This window comes from Homo sapiens, chromosome 15 (assembly GCF_000001405.40).
Source record: "Homo sapiens chromosome 15, GRCh38.p14 Primary Assembly".
Taxonomy (NCBI): Eukaryota; Metazoa; Chordata; class Mammalia; order Primates; family Hominidae; genus Homo; species Homo sapiens.
Genome location: NC_000015.10, coordinates 75,843,028 through 75,861,981, shown reverse-complemented (window position 1 = coordinate 75,861,981; position 18,954 = coordinate 75,843,028). Strand labels below are relative to the sequence as shown.

Below are 18,954 nucleotides of genomic sequence, written 5' to 3'. Positions count from 1 at the left end.
AGAGAGAAAGGCCAGATGAAGAAACACCAAGGCAGCAGACCTGTGGGTGAAGAAGTCGTCTCAGACATTCCACTGCAGCTGAGCATCCAGATGACCAGTCCCTGCCACCGTCTAAACCACATAGTGAGAGCTGCCAAATGAGACCAGCAGAAAACCTGTCCAACTAGCCCCAGTTAAGCCATACAATAGTGATAGATAGGCAAATTTGTTGTTTTATGCCATTAAGTTTTGGGATAATTGGTTAAGCAACAATAAATAAAACTTAAAGCTATGACTGTCCAAATAACATTTCCAAAAGTTGAAAGAAAAATATTTCAGATTTTAAAATTAAAGAAAAATAATTTAGAAATAATATGAGATACAAGACTCAAGACAAGAGGTCTAAAATCCCATTAACGGACACTTCAAAATGAACAAATAAAATGGAAAGGAGAAAGTTAACAAAATTATGAGAAGATTCAAGATTCCAAATTTGAAAGAGCCTATCCATAGGCCTATCCATTTGGTGTACTGAGCACAATGAGTGAAAAAAGACCCACACTAAGTATACTGTTGTGCTGTTTCAGCACACCAAGGAAAAGACAAACTCCTAAAAGCTTCCAGAGAGAAAGCCATACATAAATGACTGAAACTCAGAATGCCATGAGGCTTCACCACCACGACTGGTTAGAAGACAACAGCATAGACTTTGAAATTCTAAGGTAAAATTATCTTCAACCTAGAAATATATAATCAACCAAACTACCAATCAAGTGTGAGGGAGGGTAGAATATAACAGAAGTCAACGTTGATGGGGATGTGCTATGCACCAGGCACTGTTCTAAATGGTTTACTTGTACGAACTCATTTAATCCTCATAGTTCCCCCAAAACATAGGTACTAATATTATTACTGGTTCCCCCATTTTGCCAATGGAAAATTGATGCATAGAGCAATTAGGGAATCAGCCCAAGGGCATACAGCCAGTAAGTAGCAGAACAAAGATTCAAACCTATCACGGTCTGGCTCCAAAAACCAAACACTGGACAGTATTTTTCAGAAGCTAGAGCTCAGAAAATGTACTCCTCCATGCTTTCTTAGGGTTTTACCTGAGAATATAGTCAGGCAAAATGAGAAAGGGTCAGCCAAGAAAGATGGCATGGGATCCAAGAAACAATGGATCTACTGTAGGAGAGCAGATGAGAAAAACCTCAAGATGGCATCTGCACAGCCAACCCAAAGAACAACCTGCCAAGATGGGCACAGAGGAACCAAAGGCTTCAGAAGAAAGGGAAACCTCACAGAAAGGGCTACAACAGAATTTTTTAAATTAAAAATTACTATTATGAGGAAGACACTGCAAAACAAAAAGCTGCACCAAGAAAGGAAATATCCTATCTTAAATATTCTAGAAAACTTGGCTTTACTCTACAAAGTCCTAATGATAATTAGTGATTACTTATATGACTAAAGATAATATTTGAGGAAGGGGAGGTGAGTGGTAAGTGGGTGGTATAAGAGCTAAATTATCATGTATTATAGTAAAAAAAAAATAAATAGGTAATAAATATTTAGATGCCTAAATAGGTAAATCCAGAATGAAATTAGTGATGGTGGTGAGCTAGTGGAAATTTCTGTTGCTTGCAGGAGATAACATTTGGTTTAGTCTTTAAAAAGCACAGACAGACTTAAGGAGATGACATTGCTAGGTGAAGGTAATTGAATAACCAAAGACAAACTATGAAAGAAGCAAGAGCATTTACGGAAACCAGCAATATTAACAAAAAGGTGGTGGTAGAGAGAAGGGCAATTGTTTGCCTGTATAGTAAATACCAGCAGCTCCAAAGAATGAAAAGTTTATTTTTAGTACCTAAAACAGAACAAACAAAACAATTCAATAGGAACAAAAATGAAACTAACTTCTAAATAAGTTGAACAATAAAAAGAAAAATCATCCTAGTTTGACTTTTGCTTGAGACAATTTATTTAGCTCTTGAACACTAGAGAATTTTTACTTTACCTGACCCGTGGGTAGTGGTTGATCTAGCATCTCAACATCCAGGTGCTTAGGAAGGTTATATAAACTGCAGAGTTCACATATCAACCACTTCAATTGCTGACGAAGCTACAAAACACATTTCAGTAAATAAGCATTATGTTAAAGAGCCCTTAGAAGACATCAATAATGTTATGACTACTGTAATCAATCCAGTAGGAAATGAAAAAGTTTGTTACTGCTCAACTGCAGCTTACAGATTTAAAAAATAGTCTTTAAAATATTTTCAGGACCCTCTAGTGTAAGAAAGTTACTATGGCTTGGGGTATAATCACTACAACTGATACCTAGCAGAATGACAACAATAAGGGCAGAGGAAGGAAGTTCCAGACATTGTCCAATTTCTCACTGCTAACCCGTTTTCTGAGAAACTTACAACTTCAGACAAGAGAACATTAATGCATTAATGAGGCTACCAAAAAAATAAAAACAAAAAATAACAGAAAAAATAACCCAGACACACACAGGCAGTGTTGTTACAGATGGATTACAAAATTATATATTCCAGTCATATTCATTTAAAAATACAGAAGCAAATATCTAGTAGACAGAGCCTGGCAATCTAGATGACCTTGGATATCCTATCTAATTCCCTGAGTATGAGTCTACCCATCTGTAAAACAAAGAAATGAAAACTTTCCCAGAATGGTAAAGATTAAATGAAACCTGTAACACTTGATATTTAGTAGGCTCTTAAGTGTCTGTATAAAAAATAACAATAATTCACTAGGAAAACTGCAAAGAATAACTGTAAATTTCCATGTTTAAGTCCAGATTGTTTTCTAAGCATATTTGCTTTCAACAAGTAAGCAAGGTAAATCATGTGCACAAGTATGGTGTTCATTGTTTAAAATGTTTTTCAATGTATAACGTGACTCAAATGGGATCTAATAAGGCAACTCACTTAACTCGGTCAGGAACAGTTTCCTAGGTGGCTCTGACCAAGAAAAGAGATGAAGAGAAAGAAGCAGGTTTACAAAGGACAAAGAAAGAAGACATAGGATTAGAATGGGTTAACGAAGCAAAGAATAAGCTTTCCCAAAGTGGACAACGGAGCAAATGAAAATGAGGAAGGTTGAACGGTAAATTACGATCCAACAAAAATCTTCATGCTTAAACGGAAACCAAGCTCCAGTGTGGATTTGATATCCACCCAATACACTCTATTGCGTGCTAAGTGCATAATGAAGATGAGGCAGAGCAATCCGGACACAGACCTAGACACTCTGGCCTCTGGCACGGAAGGGGCTCCAGGAGTGCTGGGGAGAGAGGCAGCAGGGTAGTGGAGTCATACCAAGCAACAAGAAAGACAGGGTAGTACACTCTCCACGAATTTCAATTTTCCTCCCTTCCCCCACACACCAAAAAAGCATTTGAGGGATGGGAGGAAGAAACTGAGATCACAGGGAAAATAGTAAGAGACATTCAGAAGGACAGGTCTTAGAAAATTACTAGTTTGCGGGGGGCGGGGGTCAGAGAACAGTAGTATATAAAAGAACGCTAAGACAGTTCCCAGGTTTGGGTATGGGTGACTAGTTTGATTATTTCATTTTGTCCCACTCACAATCACAAGAATTACTGAGAAAAAACACGGGGCTGATAGAGTGCTAGGAGGTGGGTAAACGCAAATTTAAACGTCATCATTTTGAATATCCATGGCACTGTAAGTGAGATTCCCTAACATATATGATTTACAGACAGATATATGGGTTTGAAACTCTGGAGATGAATACAGATTTAGGAATCCCTAGAACAGAGATCATGACTAAAGTAATGGGAGTAAAATATTACTCAGAGAAAGCACAGAATGAGAAGAGAAGAAGTAGGCCAAGGGAGAAGAGATCAGAGGAGACCAAGGCAGGGTGATAAGATCAAAACAAGACAGTAATCAGATGGAAGTTCCATTAGATTATCAGTTCCCAGAGGACAGGGACATGCCTTGTCTTTTATACTCAATTATCACAGAGCCTGACACAGAAGCCAATTTTTCTTAATTGTGTTCTACTATTGACAGTTTCCTGTACCCACCAGGAAAGAAAAAAGTATAAACAAGCATATAGATTTTTTTTACATTATATACTAAAGGGGCCAATTATACACAATATTTTATGCCTTGCTTTTTCATTTAATATATCTTAGAAATCTGCACATGCTCTTATGGAAAAAATGGCTGCATTTTTTTTTTTTTTGCCTACAACAGAATATTCTATTATAAAACTATACACTATGATTTTTATTTAACCAACTCTTTATTGGTGGACATTAAGAATGCAGGAATGTTTCAACAAGGGAACAATCAACAGTATCAAAATACTGCAGAGGGGTCAATTTGGGGACTAAGAGAGGAGCCGCTAGTTTTGGCAACTAGGAGATAAATTTTAGTGCAATGATGAAGGCAGAATCCAGATTATAATAACTTCAGCGAAAAAAGGTGAAGACATGTAGCTTATTCTCTCAAGAAACTAGGTTTTGATAAACTGGCAGAGGCTGCAAGAGTGGGAGGTGAGTTGTTTTCTCCTTCATGTAAATATATTCACTTTTAAAAAACTAGGCCCAATTTTATATCCTATTTCATTTAACCTTATGAACATGTTTATGTAATATTTTAGATACTGAAAAATAACTCATTTTTGCTATTACAAAACCGTTATCTTTAGATCTTCAGAAGCAACTTCCTAAAAGGAGGTAGCAGTAACAGAACTATGTCTACCACTCTTTCCCATCAACCCCCTTGCTGGGGATGTAAACATGTGTCCATCTAGCTTTTAATTTTTACCTCTTACCTTCATGGCTCTCCATACAAACCTTAACATACGTACGTACGTGTGCATGTGTGTGTACAGAGAGAGAGAGAAAGAGGGTCTTGCTATGTTGCCAAAGCTAATCTCAAACTCCTGGGCTCAAGCAATCCTCCCACCTCAGCCTCCCAAAGTGCTGGGATTACAGGCATGAACCACTGTGCCAAGCCTCAGCCTTAACTCTTAAAATATCTTTTTTTTTTTTTTGGAGACAGAGTCTTGCTCTGTCGCCCAGGCTAGAGTACGGTGGCACAATCTCGGCTCACTGCAACCTGCCTCCCAGGTTGAAGCACTTCTCCTGCCTCAGCCTCCAAGTAGCTGGGATCACAGGTACATGCCACCACACCCGGCTAAATTTTGTATTTTTAGTAGAGATGGGGTTTCGCCATGTTGGCCAGGCTGGTCTTGAACTCCCCACCTCAACTGATCCGCCTGCCTGGGCCTCCTAAAGTTCTGGGATTACAGGCGTGAGCCATCATGCCCAGCCTTCTGTTCTTAAGAATAGATGTGTTTAAACCAACTATACAACTATAACTTATTTTGACAAAAATCAGAGTTGAGACTCAAACTTCCTCAAATAGTTTTCCTAAGACTGTTTACAGAATAATCTAGCCTTTCCTTATTAAGTTAGAATACCACCTTTACCTTATACTAAATTCTCATTTGCATGACTCTGGTTCTAAATTTCCATTGCCTTTATCTGTCTGGAACAGAGTTAGTATACAACATTTTATTGAACATCTGGTTGAACAAGTCTATTCTTTATTTTTTTATCATTTACCCTTTTAAACAAATGTTAGAGTCATTTTGTCAACTTCCAAAAATAAATCTGCTGGGATTTGTACTGAAATTCATTATATATATATATATATATATATACACACACACACACACACACACACGTATATACACATATACACATACATGTATAAACACACACATATATATATACATTTTTTTTTGAGACGGGGTCTCACTCCGTCACCTAGGCTAGAGTTCAGAGGCACAATCTAGGCTTACTGCAATCTCCACCTCCCAAGCTCAAGCAATCCTCCCACCTCAGCCTCCTCAGTAGTTGGGACTACAAGTGTGTGCCACTACACCCTGCTAATTTTTGTATTTTTTGTAGAGACAGGTTTCACCATGTTGCCTAGGCTGGTCTTAAACTCATGAGCTCAAGCAACCTGCCTGCTTCAACATCCCAAAGTTCTGGAATTACAGGCATGAGCCACTACACACCCAGCAGAAATTACATTTACGAATATGAAGACATGGCGATAAGTGACATATTTATAACATGAAATCTGCTCATCCAGGAACACAGAATGCAAATCTTTCCTTCCACTCAGCAAAATTGTCATGTTCTTGATAAAAGTCGTGCACATCTAAGTTGATTCTTAGGTATTTAATTTTTGTTGAAATACTTAAAAAAATACTTTATCACTATACCTTCAATGTGATTATAGCTAAAATTGTGGAAAGCTATTGACTTTTATGTAACAGAGCTTTCAACCAGTAATCTTAAAAACTCTTTTTTTCAGTTGGTTCCTCTGAATATTTTCAGGTAAACAATCATGTCAGCTGAAAATAATGATGATTATTTTTCTATAAAGACTGTATGACATCATGGGAAAATACAGTAATTTTTTTTTTTTTTTGAGATGGAGTATCACTCTGTTACCCAGGCTGGAGTATAATAGCGTGATCTCGGCTCACCACAACCTCTGTCTCCCAGATTCAAGCAATTCTCCTGCCTCAGCCTCCCAAGTAGCTGGGATTACAAGCATGCGCCACCATGCCCAGTTAATTTTTATATGTTTAGCAGAGACAGGGTTTCACCATGTTGGCCAGGCTGATCTCGAACTCCTGGCCTCAAGTGATCCGCCCGCCTCAGCTTCCTAAAGTGCTGAGATTACAGGCGTGAGCCACCACACCTGGCCAGTAAATGTTTTTTAAAATGATGTAAAACTATATAGACCATGACCTCAACTATTTAAACACATGTATAAAGGTATATGTATTTTACTAGCAAAGGAAAAATATATACTGGTAGAAAATAACCATCATGTCAACAGTGGTTATATTAGGTAGAGAAATTATGGGAGATTTTAATTTTTTTTCCTGTCTATATTTTACTAATTTTCTCAATAATGCTTGCTCATGAGTTTTATAATCAAGAAAAAAAGCATTAAAAACTTTTTCAACATGGAAAGTTATATTTCTTTATATACTAAAAACAAAAATAAAACTTTCTATTCTTTTACTGCAGACTTACAGACCCTTGAAAGAAAAGGCAATTCCCTCATACTAGTTCTGGTGTCATTCTCCCCATCTCTCCCTTCACTCCTACCTTGGTCTTTTTTCTGCTTCCCACCTTGGCTAGTGGTCTCTACCCAAAATGCTTGTTTGGCTTAATGGTTAGAATTCAGGGAAAAAGAGATCCCTAATTTGTAATCTAAATTAAGGTTATACATGTGGGAAATAAAAGAGAGACCAGGTAGTAAATAGAATTTGAAGGAAAAAAAACAAACAAACTAGTCTTTAATTCCTACAAGATTATAATCATTAATCATGCTTTTATATCATATTATCTCTTAACATTTAATTTCTATATGTAATGTTCATGAGGAAAAGAGAAAATAGCTTGGCTTATTTTCTTACCAAATTGTTGTTCTTAGTATCTTCTAGACGTTCCAGAACTGATGTCAGATTTGGGTCTTCAGAATCCACAAACCATATCGGTGAAGAAGATGGATAGGATTCCTGTTTAACACAGAGACACATGTTAAACATTTACATACAGACTAACCCAAATATGCAATTAAACCACACCACTAAACGGCAAGATGACCATGGATTTAAACAAAATGTATGGGGGGAAAAGGCAACATATTAAAAACCTTGTGAGGAGCTGGACTTTTGAGACAACCATTCTCCTTGCATAGCACTGTCTGTTGCTACAGCTCATAGAAGTCAATGATTTTCTTCAACACTGGTAGGCAGCCTCTAAAATGGCCCCGATCACCATCACCTCCTGGCATTCACACCCTTGTAAAATTCCCGCCCCTGGACCTAGTGACTCACTTCTAACAAAGAGAATACAGCAAAAGTAATAACATCACTTCTGAGATTAGGCTACAAAGAGACTATGATGTCTGCCTTGCCCATCCTTCTCCTGCTCTTTCCATTGCTCCCTCTGATGGAAACCAGTTGCCATGTGATGAGGTGCCCTATGGAGAGACCTACATGGCGAGGTATTATAAAAGGCCTCAGACCAACAGCCATCCAGAAACGGAGGCCCAGTCCCACAGCCTGTGAGATGAATCCTGCCAACATCTACATAAGTGAGCTTGGAGACTGATTCTCTCCCTATCCTGCCTTAGGATGATCACAGCTGCCACCAACAACTTCGCTGCCTGGTGAGAGGCCAAGCCAGTGAACCCAAGGTAAATTGCACAAAATCCTGACCCACAGAAATGGTGAGATAATGTTTGTTGCTTTAAGCTGATAAATTTGTTACAGAGCAATAGAAAAGTAATTCAAATACCATAAAATTCTAATGTTTTAATCTATCACACAAACCAAGTACTACCAAGAAATGCCATTACTACATATATATACACACATACATACATACATACATATATATATATATATAATTTTTTTTTCTTTTTTTCCTCGAGACAGAGTCTTGCTCTGTGGCCCAGGCGGAGTGCATGGCACAATCTCGGCTCACTGCAACCTCCGCCTCCTAGGTTCAAGCGATTCTCCTGCCTCAGCCTCCCGAGTAGCTGGGATAACAAGCACATGCCACCACGCCAAGCTAATTTTTTGTATTTTTATTAGAGACGGGGTTTCACCATGCTGGCCAGGCTGGTCTTGAACTCCTGATCTCGTGATCAGCCCACCTCAGCCTCCCAAAGTGCTGGGATTACAGGCGTGAGCCACTAAGCCAGGCCCATATCTTTTTTAAAACACAATTACATGTGATTTCTTTAAAAAGCTAATGAACTAAGCATTATGTGCTTTCACCCACTAACAGACATTTACTCTGTTACTTTGTATGATTTTCTATTATAAATTGGGGAAAAGCCATTATTATCGTATATTAGCTTCAGAACAACTAGGTTCAAGTCATGGAAAACAATTTCACAGAAACGATTTTAGGAAACACTGCTTTGAGAACTATAATCTGATTTATAGCTGAAGCCACAGAAACTGAATATTTTTAAAGCATTTTACCAAATGTTCTTTTAAGAATAAGTTGTATTGATGGAGGACATCATTAATAGTATACCTGGTCAATAATGGGTTATTTACTATTTTCATTCCTCTAACTCTTACTGTGCCCCAAATCTCTTTACAGGCTAAATGAGAAACTCTCCAGAATTAATCCTGTTCTTAACACCACTTATTGAGTACTGCATTTTCTTCTTCAAATTCTTCAGCACACATTGGGAATACACCATCTGGACCATTTTTACTGTTTTAGTTTTTAGGTTTCTTTTCCCTTAGGCTAAAGAAACTGCAACTACACTTAGGATCTCATTATTAGGTTAGTATTTGTCTAGTAAACTTCAGCATAAGCCAAGAAACATACATGTCTTCACTCTGGACTGAAACCCCTCAAAACCATATTAAGAAAATTACAAAAACAATTAACTGAAATCATGTTTTTAATCTTGTAGATGAAAAGATATGATACACTGTAGATCTAAGTACCTATTTCAATGGTTCCCAAAGTGGGGACCTCAGACCCCCAGGTCCAAACTATTTTTACAAGAATACTAACATGTTGACATATGCTGTAAGGGTGCAGATACAATGGTGGGTAAAAACGCTGGCACTTTAGCACAAATAAAGGCGGTAACACCAAACTACTAGTAGTCATGGTATTCTTCACTATGCACAGGAAAGGCTTAAAAAGGAAGGGCAACAAAAGGTCAGTTTCATTTAAGAATGTCTACGATAAGGCTGGGAATGGTGGCTCATGCCTGTAATCCCAGCACTTTGGGAGGCCGAGGCAGGAGGATCACTTGAGCCCAGGAGTTCAAGACCAGCCTGGCCAACAGGGTGAAACCCCATCTCTACAAAAAAAAATAAAAAAATTAGCTAAGCATGGTGGTTGCACGCCTGTAGTCCCAGCTACTAGGGAGGCTGAGGCAGAAGGATTGATTGAGCCCAGAAGGTCGAGTCTCCACTGAGCTGTGATCACGCTACTGCACTCCAGCCTGGGTGACAGAACAAGGCCCTGTCTCAAAAATAAAAAGAATGTCTATGATGAAGCAGTGAAAATTTTACTACATCTGAATCCTTGAATATGTCTTTTTAATATTTCAAGTGATGAAACGGGAAGTATACATGAGCATTCCTACAGACTGCCTGAGAAAAAACCCTTGTGTGACTAAGTCATGAAGTGAATTAACCACTTAAATGGAATACCATTTTTACTTGAAAGGATAACTGACGATGTTATTTCAACTTGGGTTTTTGGCAGTCATTTTCCTCAAAAAATGAGATTCTGTCATTTCAAGGAAAACAACAGACAGGCCATAATAAATTTCAATAATAAAACTGCTAATAATAAAATGCAAGTTTTTGAACAAAAAATTAGAATTTTTGAAAACTTGTATCCACCACCGTTTTCCAAGAATATCCTGATAACATTGATGGCAATATTGATGAATGTATTTTGATACTGTAAAATCAAATGTATCAACATTTAGAAGATCTCGGTGAACCACTATTTTCTAAATGACCAATGCATGATGTTATAATATCATACAAGGGTAAAAGATCCAAAGTTCAAGAAAGACCAAGTTTTGATAGAGCATCAAAAAAGAAGCCTAGGCAACATGGCAAAACCCTGTCTCTACAAAAAAATACAAAAAATTAGCCAGTAAGATGGCCTACACCTGAGTCCCAGGAGACTGAGGGTGCAGTGAGCTGTGATCACACCACTGCACTCCAGCCTGGGCAACACAGTGAACCCCCATCTCAAAAAAAAAAAAAAGAAGAATATCCAGGATTATCTAAAATGGCCATTAAAATATTCACAATTTTTCCAACCAGGTATCTGTATAAGGTTGGATTTTGTTTACATTATTTCAAGCAAATAGCATACAACAAATTAAATGCAAAAGCAAATGACAGAGCAAACATCAATGAAATTTGCAAAAAATTTAAGACTGTGCTACTATTCTATTTTTTGGCTTAGAAAATTTTGTTTCGTAAAAGCACATTTATAATAATATGTGATGAGTTTTTAAAGAGTTAATGTTTTAAATATTTCTGATTTAACTTGTAGTGATAAATACCAATAGACGTAACTTACATAAACCAAAGCCCTTAAGTGCTGAATATATTTTCAAGAGTGTAAAGGAGTCCTGACCCCAAAACTTTGAGAACTGCTGCCTTCCCCTCCACTTTCCTTCCTTCCTTAGAATTCTTTCCTTGGAAGAAACATCCCTTTGCCATTCTATATTAACTTACATAGTTCCATTGAGACCAGTTTTGCTACCTCCCTCCCATCTTTCCTCCTCCCTCTCTTGACACAAAACCTGACCAAAGGACTCTACCAGCCCACCCCATTTCCAGTGATTAGCTGTCAGGTGGGCTAAGCCAAGAAAATCTGGGTTTTCCCTGAAGCTAGACCTCTAGTTCTGGGAGATCTGGAATCACAGGGACAAGGATGGCCACCTTGGGGTGGTCAGAATTCATCTTGCCTACACGTAAGGAGTAAGTTATAACACGGATCTACAATATTGTTGAGTGAAAAAGCAGATTACAAAAAAATCTGATTTTTTAAGGGAGAGGGAACACACATAAGCATCGGAGAAAAGAGATGAGCAGATAACTGGAAAGATACAAAATTCTGATAGTGGTATATTCTGAGTGGTAGAATCATATCTCCTAGTTTTGACTAAATTTCTTTTAATGTCTTACAATAAGAAGGTTTTGTTTTCCATATTATAAAATATCCACCACGCCAGGAAACTTAACCTTCAGCACAAACTCTACATCATGTTCAAGGTTTGTTCAGTTTAACATTTAAGAGAGAATCTACTTTGAAAGACATCTAAAATAATGACCAATATTTAAACCTATGTATTAATATTTTCAATCTTTCACATGCTTTAAGTTTTGTAATTTTGATAAGGTTAACTAAGCTTTATATCTATCTTGAAAAGATAAGTTTGCCTACTATTTCTCTTTAAAATAAATATGACCTATGGTATATCAGTTTTTAAACAGTGAATGGTGCTCAAAAATCCCAATACAAATTCAGGCAGTTTTCCCGTACATAGAATGTTTAAGTGCTTCTAGCACCACTCTTTTTCACCACAGTTATGAAAACACAGAACAATTATCTAAGCATCTAATTACTCAGGTCCTTTGTTCCTCATCCATTCTATTAGTTTTATAGTAATTCTAAGGCCTGTGAGAATGAAGTTGTCTGTGAAGCTACCATAAACATTACTGTAAGTGGACAAATTTCAAACAAGTTCATCACCACTACCATCCCCACCATAAAACTGTCTTAATGGAGGGAAACACAACTCAAGATTAACCAAACCAACCTCTTTACCTGTCACTGCTCAAGAAAAAGATTTTTTTGTCTTATTTAGAAGTAACTTTCTGTATCTATTTTTCTCCATAAATCCACTGAGACCATTGTGTGGCTCTATCTCAAGCACCAGCAACCAAAACTGGTTGACCAGAATGGTCAGTTTTTGTATCTTTCCAAATGTAGGACACAGCTATCTTCAGGGATTTCATCATTTTTTTAAAACTGATGCACAAACTTCTGGAAGGTTCAGAGATAACAGCAGTTGTAATTCTTCTGAAGGCCAGTTATGGGACACATTACTTTCATAGTTTGCTGTTCAATAAATGTGGGGTGGAGAACGAAGTAAATTGACAGAATTAGCATATAGTACCTTAATAAAATTCTAACTGCTCTGACAACAAAAGATACTTAAAATGCATACACATGGTTCCCTGCTAATCATTTTACAAATAAACAACCAAGTAGCTAACCTAGAGCCCACAAAAGCAGAGTAAAAATTCTAACACTTGTTGAAATAAAAATGTTCATATACCCATGATAAAAAGAAAATGCTTAAGTATTCAAACACAAGCAGCAAATTACAGCTACTGAGAACATCATTGTAAGCAAACTGAGGCACAGAAAAAGGTGCTGATGAGGATCTGAACCACCTAAGCTGCAGAAACCCACTGGGTGGTTTCCTAGGTTCCAAGTTGGGATTATCTTTCAGAATCTTCTAGAAGAGATCACATAACACTGTTACAAAGGATCTGGAAAAAGGGACCCCTGCTTTATCACTCTGGCTCTCCAGTCATGCTTGACATTTGGCAGTGACTATCTCCATTCAACTCAATTCCCCACCCCTCAACTAGCTGACATTTATCAAATACTACCCTTTTCCAGGTCTAAATATGTTTAACCAAATTAAAAAAAAAAAATCAAGATACTAAGGGATATACTATTCACAAAAGGGAAACCTAAGTCTTCTCTTCATATATCTGTTCCTTTCAAGGACAGGTATAAAAATGGGGATGAGGGAGCATAAATAACCACCAGGAATTTGACCCTATATTATAAATTGGTCAGATAAACGAAAACAATGATTCTTCTGGAATGAAAGTACCACTTAGGTGCTTAACATGACAGTTCTGATATTTCCAAATGCTCTTCCATGAATTCAATTTGGAAAGGTAATCTGTCCCAGGAGGGCAAACCAAAGAGAAAAGTCTTAGGCTCCTTAGTCCAGGTTTATTTCCTTTGTACAACTTTGACTGGACTACTTTTTAATCATAGTAAAGACTAGAAAAATGCAAGATGAAGTTAACAGCATTGCTTTATTTCCCACAAAAACCTGTTATAAAGCATTTTCAAAATAAAGTGTTATTCAGCCACAAATGACACCATCGCTTTTATATTTGTAGAACATAATATCATTGCCAAAGAGCTTTCCTCTATATGCTCTCTTGCAGTGCAAAAAAATATTATCTATAGTACACAGAAACACAGTAAAAGAAGTGACTTACTTAAGCTCCTAACTACTAAATAAAAGCTAAACTTCTCACTTCCTCCTAGATTCACAGCTCCAACATTTTTAAAATTTAGTATCTTGCTGTTGGGGGTAGGCACTTTTTGGCAATAATGAATAGAAATTTAATTAACCAATCAAAAACAAAGTCCCACTAAAAGCAGCCTAGCAAACAGCCACTTATACGCAGAAAGGGTAATCATTTATGCTCTACAAGTAATATAAAAAATGAAGTTTCATTTGTTTACTAGCTAATTTACTTCCTGGGGGAGATTTTTCATTCTAAAACAGTGATTTCCTACCAAGAATGCCCAGATGCCAAAAAGTCCATAAAAGGAGTAATGGAGTTGCCAAGTTATGTTAAATACTTCAAAACGACTAAAGCCATATACTAGCTCCCAATAAGGCTGCTTAAAACAAGCTGCTTTGCATTTCGGTGTGATTGTAACAACTAATTAGACGGCAATCAGGTTAGTTTACTGAAGATGGAAAAACTATACTTAAGTTTGTATAACAGGCAATCTTTCATATCATGGCTTCACAGAAAAGAATAAAAAGGACTCGAGGTTGAAAAAGAGCACTCTTTTCCCTTCATTATTTAAGATCAGGACAAATTTATAAAACAGGAAAAGAATTAGCTCAATTCCCTTGGCCTACAGAGTAAAACATCTACTCTGTTTTGGTCTTTTTCACTTCTTACACTCTCATATGAAGTCAATTTACAGACTTCCATCAAGCCCTTAGAGACCTTTTTGTACTATCCATGACAAGTTATTGATGTTATCTCTGCACTTTTGACAAATTCTTAGCAGTTAACTTACAAGGCAGTTAAGATTTTTGTTCAAATACAATACAGCTAGAATAGCGCTATATACTCAAATATTTATGAAGCATTTATTGAGTGGAAGATAAAAAGCACAAAGCATAATTATAAAATATTCTCCCCTGCCACCATAAAAAGAAAAATTTAAAGGCTTACAGAATACAGCATAAGAAAACATGACCAAAGCAAAAATAGTAAGGACTAAAGAAGGGAGGAAGGGGAAATAACAGCATGAACTAAATATGACCCAGAAGAGCCTTGACGGATGGTCAGGCATATAAAGACAAATGGGGTAAGGTTAAGGGGTGGAGGTCAGGGGCACATTCTACAGGGAGAAATACAGCTGATACAGAAACCTGAAAGGAAAAGCCAGCAGAGCACCTGTACAGGACTCTTCAGGAACTAGCATGCACGTGTGTAAAAAACAACTTAGTTTCTCAAACATTAGAGAAACTGCATAAGGATGTTTCTTGGTAAGTATAAAGAAAACAAGTCCTAGCATGTAGAATTCAAATATTTGAACTGTCTAAAGAGGAAAAGTTAAAGAATAAGTCAAACTCATTACCTTTTCCAGAGTTACAACTTTAGAGAATAACAAATCATCGATCAAACCAAATCATTTGAAATCCAACCCCATTTTTCCCTTGATCTTTCCCTTCTAAGCAAATGGTATCGACATGAACAAGCCATGTCATTTTATCAAAACAGTCATCCATGTTTAAAAGAGTCTTTACGGCCAGGAACGGTGGCTCACTCCTGTAATCCCAGCACTTTGGGAGCTTGAGGTGGAGTTCAAGACCAGCCTGGCCAACATGGTGAAACCCCGTCTCTACTAAAAACACAAAAATTAGCCGGGTGTGGCGGCGGAAACCTGTAATCCCAGCTACTCGGGAGGCGGTGGCAGCAGAATTGCTTGAACCTGGGAGGCGGAGGTTGCAGTGGGCCCAGGTCACACCACTGCACTCCAGCTGGGACGACACAGCGAGACTCCGTCTCAAAAAATAATAATAAAAAATAAAAGAGTCTTTTACCTTCAAAAGATACAAGCAGAAATATTTACAGATGAAGTGATCTGTCTGGAATCTGCTTCAAAATAATCTAAAGTGGAGTACAGATGAAGATTAGCCAAAAGTTTATCATTGTTGAGGCTGGCTACATTACACTGTTCAACTTTTGTACATTTGATGATTTTCCATAATAAAAAGTTAGCAGACATTTGTACTGAGCAGCTGCCATGATAATTATCTCCTGATAGTCTGTCATATTTCACTAGCAAGTCAATTTTAATAGTTTCTACCTAGCGGTGGGTGCCATTACACTAGTCCTCACTAAATCCTCCTTGTACTGAAAGTGTCTCATTCACTTCTTGCTCCATTTCTGTTGCCACTGCCTAATCCAGGTCATCACTCCTTATTTTTATCTGCAGCAGACTCTTACCAGCCTTCAATATGGTTCTCGATGGGGCACCAGTGGCACTTTAGGTGGGATAATTCTTTGCTGTGGCAGACTGCCTGAACGTTGCAAAACATTTGGTATCCCTGTACTCCTAGCACTAAATGCCGGCACAGCAATAAGACCACCCCACCCCCACTGGGATAACCACATTTCCTAATGCCACCCACTGTAGAGAACCATTTCTAATCCTGGATGAAAGATACATTCTCCCAACTTACCTGAGTAAACTTAGTAGCTCCCCACAGCCTACAAATTCAGTCTCCTATCATTCAAACCAGCCCTACCTTTTCGTGGCCATGCCCCAACTTCTACCAGAGTAATCACCCTCGAAGCCATTCAGGCCCGTCTCCTTAAAACACCTGCTTCATGACAACTACTACACTTTCTGTTTTCCACTCTTGGAAAATCCTCCCCTTCTCCAGCCTGTATCGTGGGCTTCTCAAGTCTTAGCATAAATTTTCTACTTCTAAGGAAACCACACTTTCTCAAATCTCCGTGTCTTCTTTGGGTGGAGTTTCCTCAGTCTAAAATGCCCTTCCGCCAGCCTTCCAAAATTGTAGTCACCTGTGGAAGCTCATCTCTAACTGTCTCAGCCTCTCATCAAAGCCTTCCCTGAAGCGCACCTCCCCCAAGTCAAAATTAGTTGCTTTGGCTTTCCTGATGATACCACAGGAGCTGTCACCTTATTGAACTCTTCCCCCAAGAAGACTGAGTTCTGAGAGCGAGGACGACTTCACTCAATTCTGCAACACTAGTGCCCAGAACACTCAGACGTATTCATTCAATAAATGAATTATCTCCTCAGTACAGCACTTGTCTTTTTTTTTTTGAAATTAACACACCTTCTGCCCAGATAGTCTGGTAACCATTTTAAGGTCAATTATAACATCAAGGTTTTTGCAAACGCCAGCCACCCTGCAGGCACTTGAGTACCCACTGACTCAACCAAAGGGAGTTAAAAACAAGACTTGGTTTTAGCCATGTTTGAAAAGGAGCCCGAAGCCACCACCTTGACGCCTATTATAACCAAGAGAATATTCTGCAGTTTGGACCAATATCCTACATCAATTTCACGACGAATAGCTTCACGATACACTTTTATGGAGAAACTTAATACTTCAATTCCTTTACCAAGCCTTGGGTTTCTAATGAGATTTCCGCTTAATGAGTGAGTTTTTAAAAGTGTCTTTTCGGCTTTGTGACATACGTGATCTTTCCGGGGAGCAGCCCTGGCGCGTATCTCCTTTCACCTATCCATTTTCGAGGCTTACACACAAGGGAGGGGCCACACGAATACACACTCAACACCACCTGCCGCAACGACGGTACTATGCTCCTTTCCAGAACACAGCAGCGCGCAGCCAGGCCCGGGGGAGAGGGGTCGCTCAAACAGCACCAGAGTCTGCATTCCAACTTTTCCTCCGTCAACGAGTCCATTCTCATTGTCAGTTTCTCCTTAAACGCAAACTTAAAAACAATTGGCTGAACAAGCGGGAAGAAGGAAAATCCGACTGAAAAATGAGGCGTTAAAACTTAAGGGCCGTTCCCCTTGCCGGCCTGGGCTCAAACAACAGCCGGAGCTGCGCCGCCCCGCCCCGCCCCGCCCCGGTCCCGGGAGCAGGCCGGCTGAGGGCGGCCATGGACCCCACAAGGGCTTGGGCCGCCGCGGACTCCCCCCTCGGGGCTAGGAGACGGGGACCGAGATGGGCCAGAAGCCCCCAAGCCAGCCCCTGGCGAGAAGCCGGAAAGACGCGCCCTCCGCCTCCTCCCACCCAAGCCTCGCGCAGTCCCAGCCCGGCCTGGGATGGGCAAGTCGCGGGGGAAAGGGGCGGGCCTGCCCCGCCCGGGGAGCCGGAGCCTCTCCGGGGCAGGCTCCCCTTTGTCCCGGGACTCGAAGCGCCCCCTCTCCGTCCTCGCCCTGCCCCGCGGGGCCGCGGCCGGGCGCCTCACCGTGATGTTGCAGTGGAGCGTGAGTGGCGGCGGCAGCGAGTGCGGGCTGCCCTGCTGCGGCACCAGGAACTGGCAGTGCAGCTCGTCCAGCTTCCAACTGACGATGCGGAATCGCTCGTGGTTCTTGTCGAAGATGGACGCCAGGAACTTCAGCTCGGCCTTGAGCCCTGACACGGACATCTTCCCCTCATCTCCGGCGGGAGGGGCGCGGAAGGGGAGCCGGGCGCGGAAGGGGAGCCGGGCCCGGAGCCGCCGTCACGGCCGCGACCGCCCCGCGGGGCCGGCCTGGGCCGCGCTCTCGCGGCTCCGCCTCGTCGAGCGCTGCTGGAAAATGGCGAGGGGCGCGGAAGCCTCGGCGTGTGGCGGCCTGGGTGGCGCTTCCTTTGTAACCGACTCCAGCGGCAGGAGGCGGCGGCCCCGCGGCTTAAAAGGGCAACAGCGACGCCGCCCCCGCTACCGCCTGGGAAAGGGCTGCCCCCACCCCGCCCCCGTCCCCCTCACCCTGGCGCGCCCTGCGCGCTCCGGTTTCAGCGCGTGCACGAGGCCAGAGCGCGCGCGCCCGGCCGCCCCCTCCTCGCCTTGACCCAGCTCCCTTGTTCCCGACCCATCTGCTCCGTTCTTCGCACCCGCGGACTGGAGGCTCGGGGCCAGCTGGCGCCCGGGCCCCAGAAGTCGGGGAGGAGCCGGAGACCCCCGCGCGCCCCCGCCCCCGGCCTGGAGCCGGACACGTGCGTGGCGGATCGCGCCGGCCACGTCGGCGCCGCTGCAGACTAGCGCCAGCCCCTGGGGGCGGCTCCTCAGCTTGGCGCTCGGCGCGGC

At 40.5% G+C, this 18,954-nt stretch overlaps 1 protein-coding gene across 15 annotated transcripts in view, besides 6 other annotated features; it reads right to left on the bottom strand.

The window, feature by feature from the left end:
* The window catches only part of UBE2Q2 (ubiquitin conjugating enzyme E2 Q2), a 57,632-nt gene extending 39,097 nt beyond the window's left edge, over positions 1 to 18,535 (bottom strand). For 7 of the 15 annotated variants that reach the window (NM_173469.4, XM_005254787.3, XM_005254788.3 and 4 more), the window contains exons 1-3: positions 18,136 to 18,535; positions 7,495 to 7,596; positions 2,000 to 2,104 (exon numbers count right to left, since the gene is read on the bottom strand). In NM_173469.4, coding sequence (NP_775740.1) covers positions 2,000 to 2,104; positions 7,495 to 7,596; positions 18,136 to 18,315 — 387 coding nt within the window. In that variant the 5' untranslated portion in view covers positions 18,316 to 18,535. 15 annotated transcript variants of the gene reach the window in all.
* Positions 17,556 to 18,453: an enhancer, noted in NCBI's record as "NANOG-H3K27ac-H3K4me1 hESC enhancer chr15:76135870-76136767 (GRCh37/hg19 assembly coordinates)". NCBI's record gives its function as "activates a minimal SCP1, AML or CMV promoter by ChIP-STARR-seq in naive H9 embryonic stem cells {active_cell/tissue: H9 hESC(naive)}" and the evidence as "EXISTENCE:reporter gene assay evidence [ECO:0000049][PMID:30033119]".
* Positions 17,556 to 18,454: a biological region, named in NCBI's record as "NANOG-H3K27ac-H3K4me1 hESC enhancer GRCh37_chr15:76135870-76136767".
* Positions 17,725 to 18,124: a silencer, noted in NCBI's record as "silent region_6685". NCBI's record gives its function as "represses an Ori minimal core promoter by ATAC-STARR-seq in GM12878 lymphoblastoid cells {active_cell/tissue: GM12878}" and the evidence as "EXISTENCE:reporter gene assay evidence [ECO:0000049][PMID:35858748]".
* Positions 18,375 to 18,454: a silencer, noted in NCBI's record as "silent region_6684". NCBI's record gives its function as "represses an Ori minimal core promoter by ATAC-STARR-seq in GM12878 lymphoblastoid cells {active_cell/tissue: GM12878}" and the evidence as "EXISTENCE:reporter gene assay evidence [ECO:0000049][PMID:35858748]".
* Positions 18,595 to 18,734: a silencer, noted in NCBI's record as "silent region_6683". NCBI's record gives its function as "represses an Ori minimal core promoter by ATAC-STARR-seq in GM12878 lymphoblastoid cells {active_cell/tissue: GM12878}" and the evidence as "EXISTENCE:reporter gene assay evidence [ECO:0000049][PMID:35858748]".
* Positions 18,775 to 18,954: a silencer, noted in NCBI's record as "silent region_6682". NCBI's record gives its function as "represses an Ori minimal core promoter by ATAC-STARR-seq in GM12878 lymphoblastoid cells {active_cell/tissue: GM12878}" and the evidence as "EXISTENCE:reporter gene assay evidence [ECO:0000049][PMID:35858748]".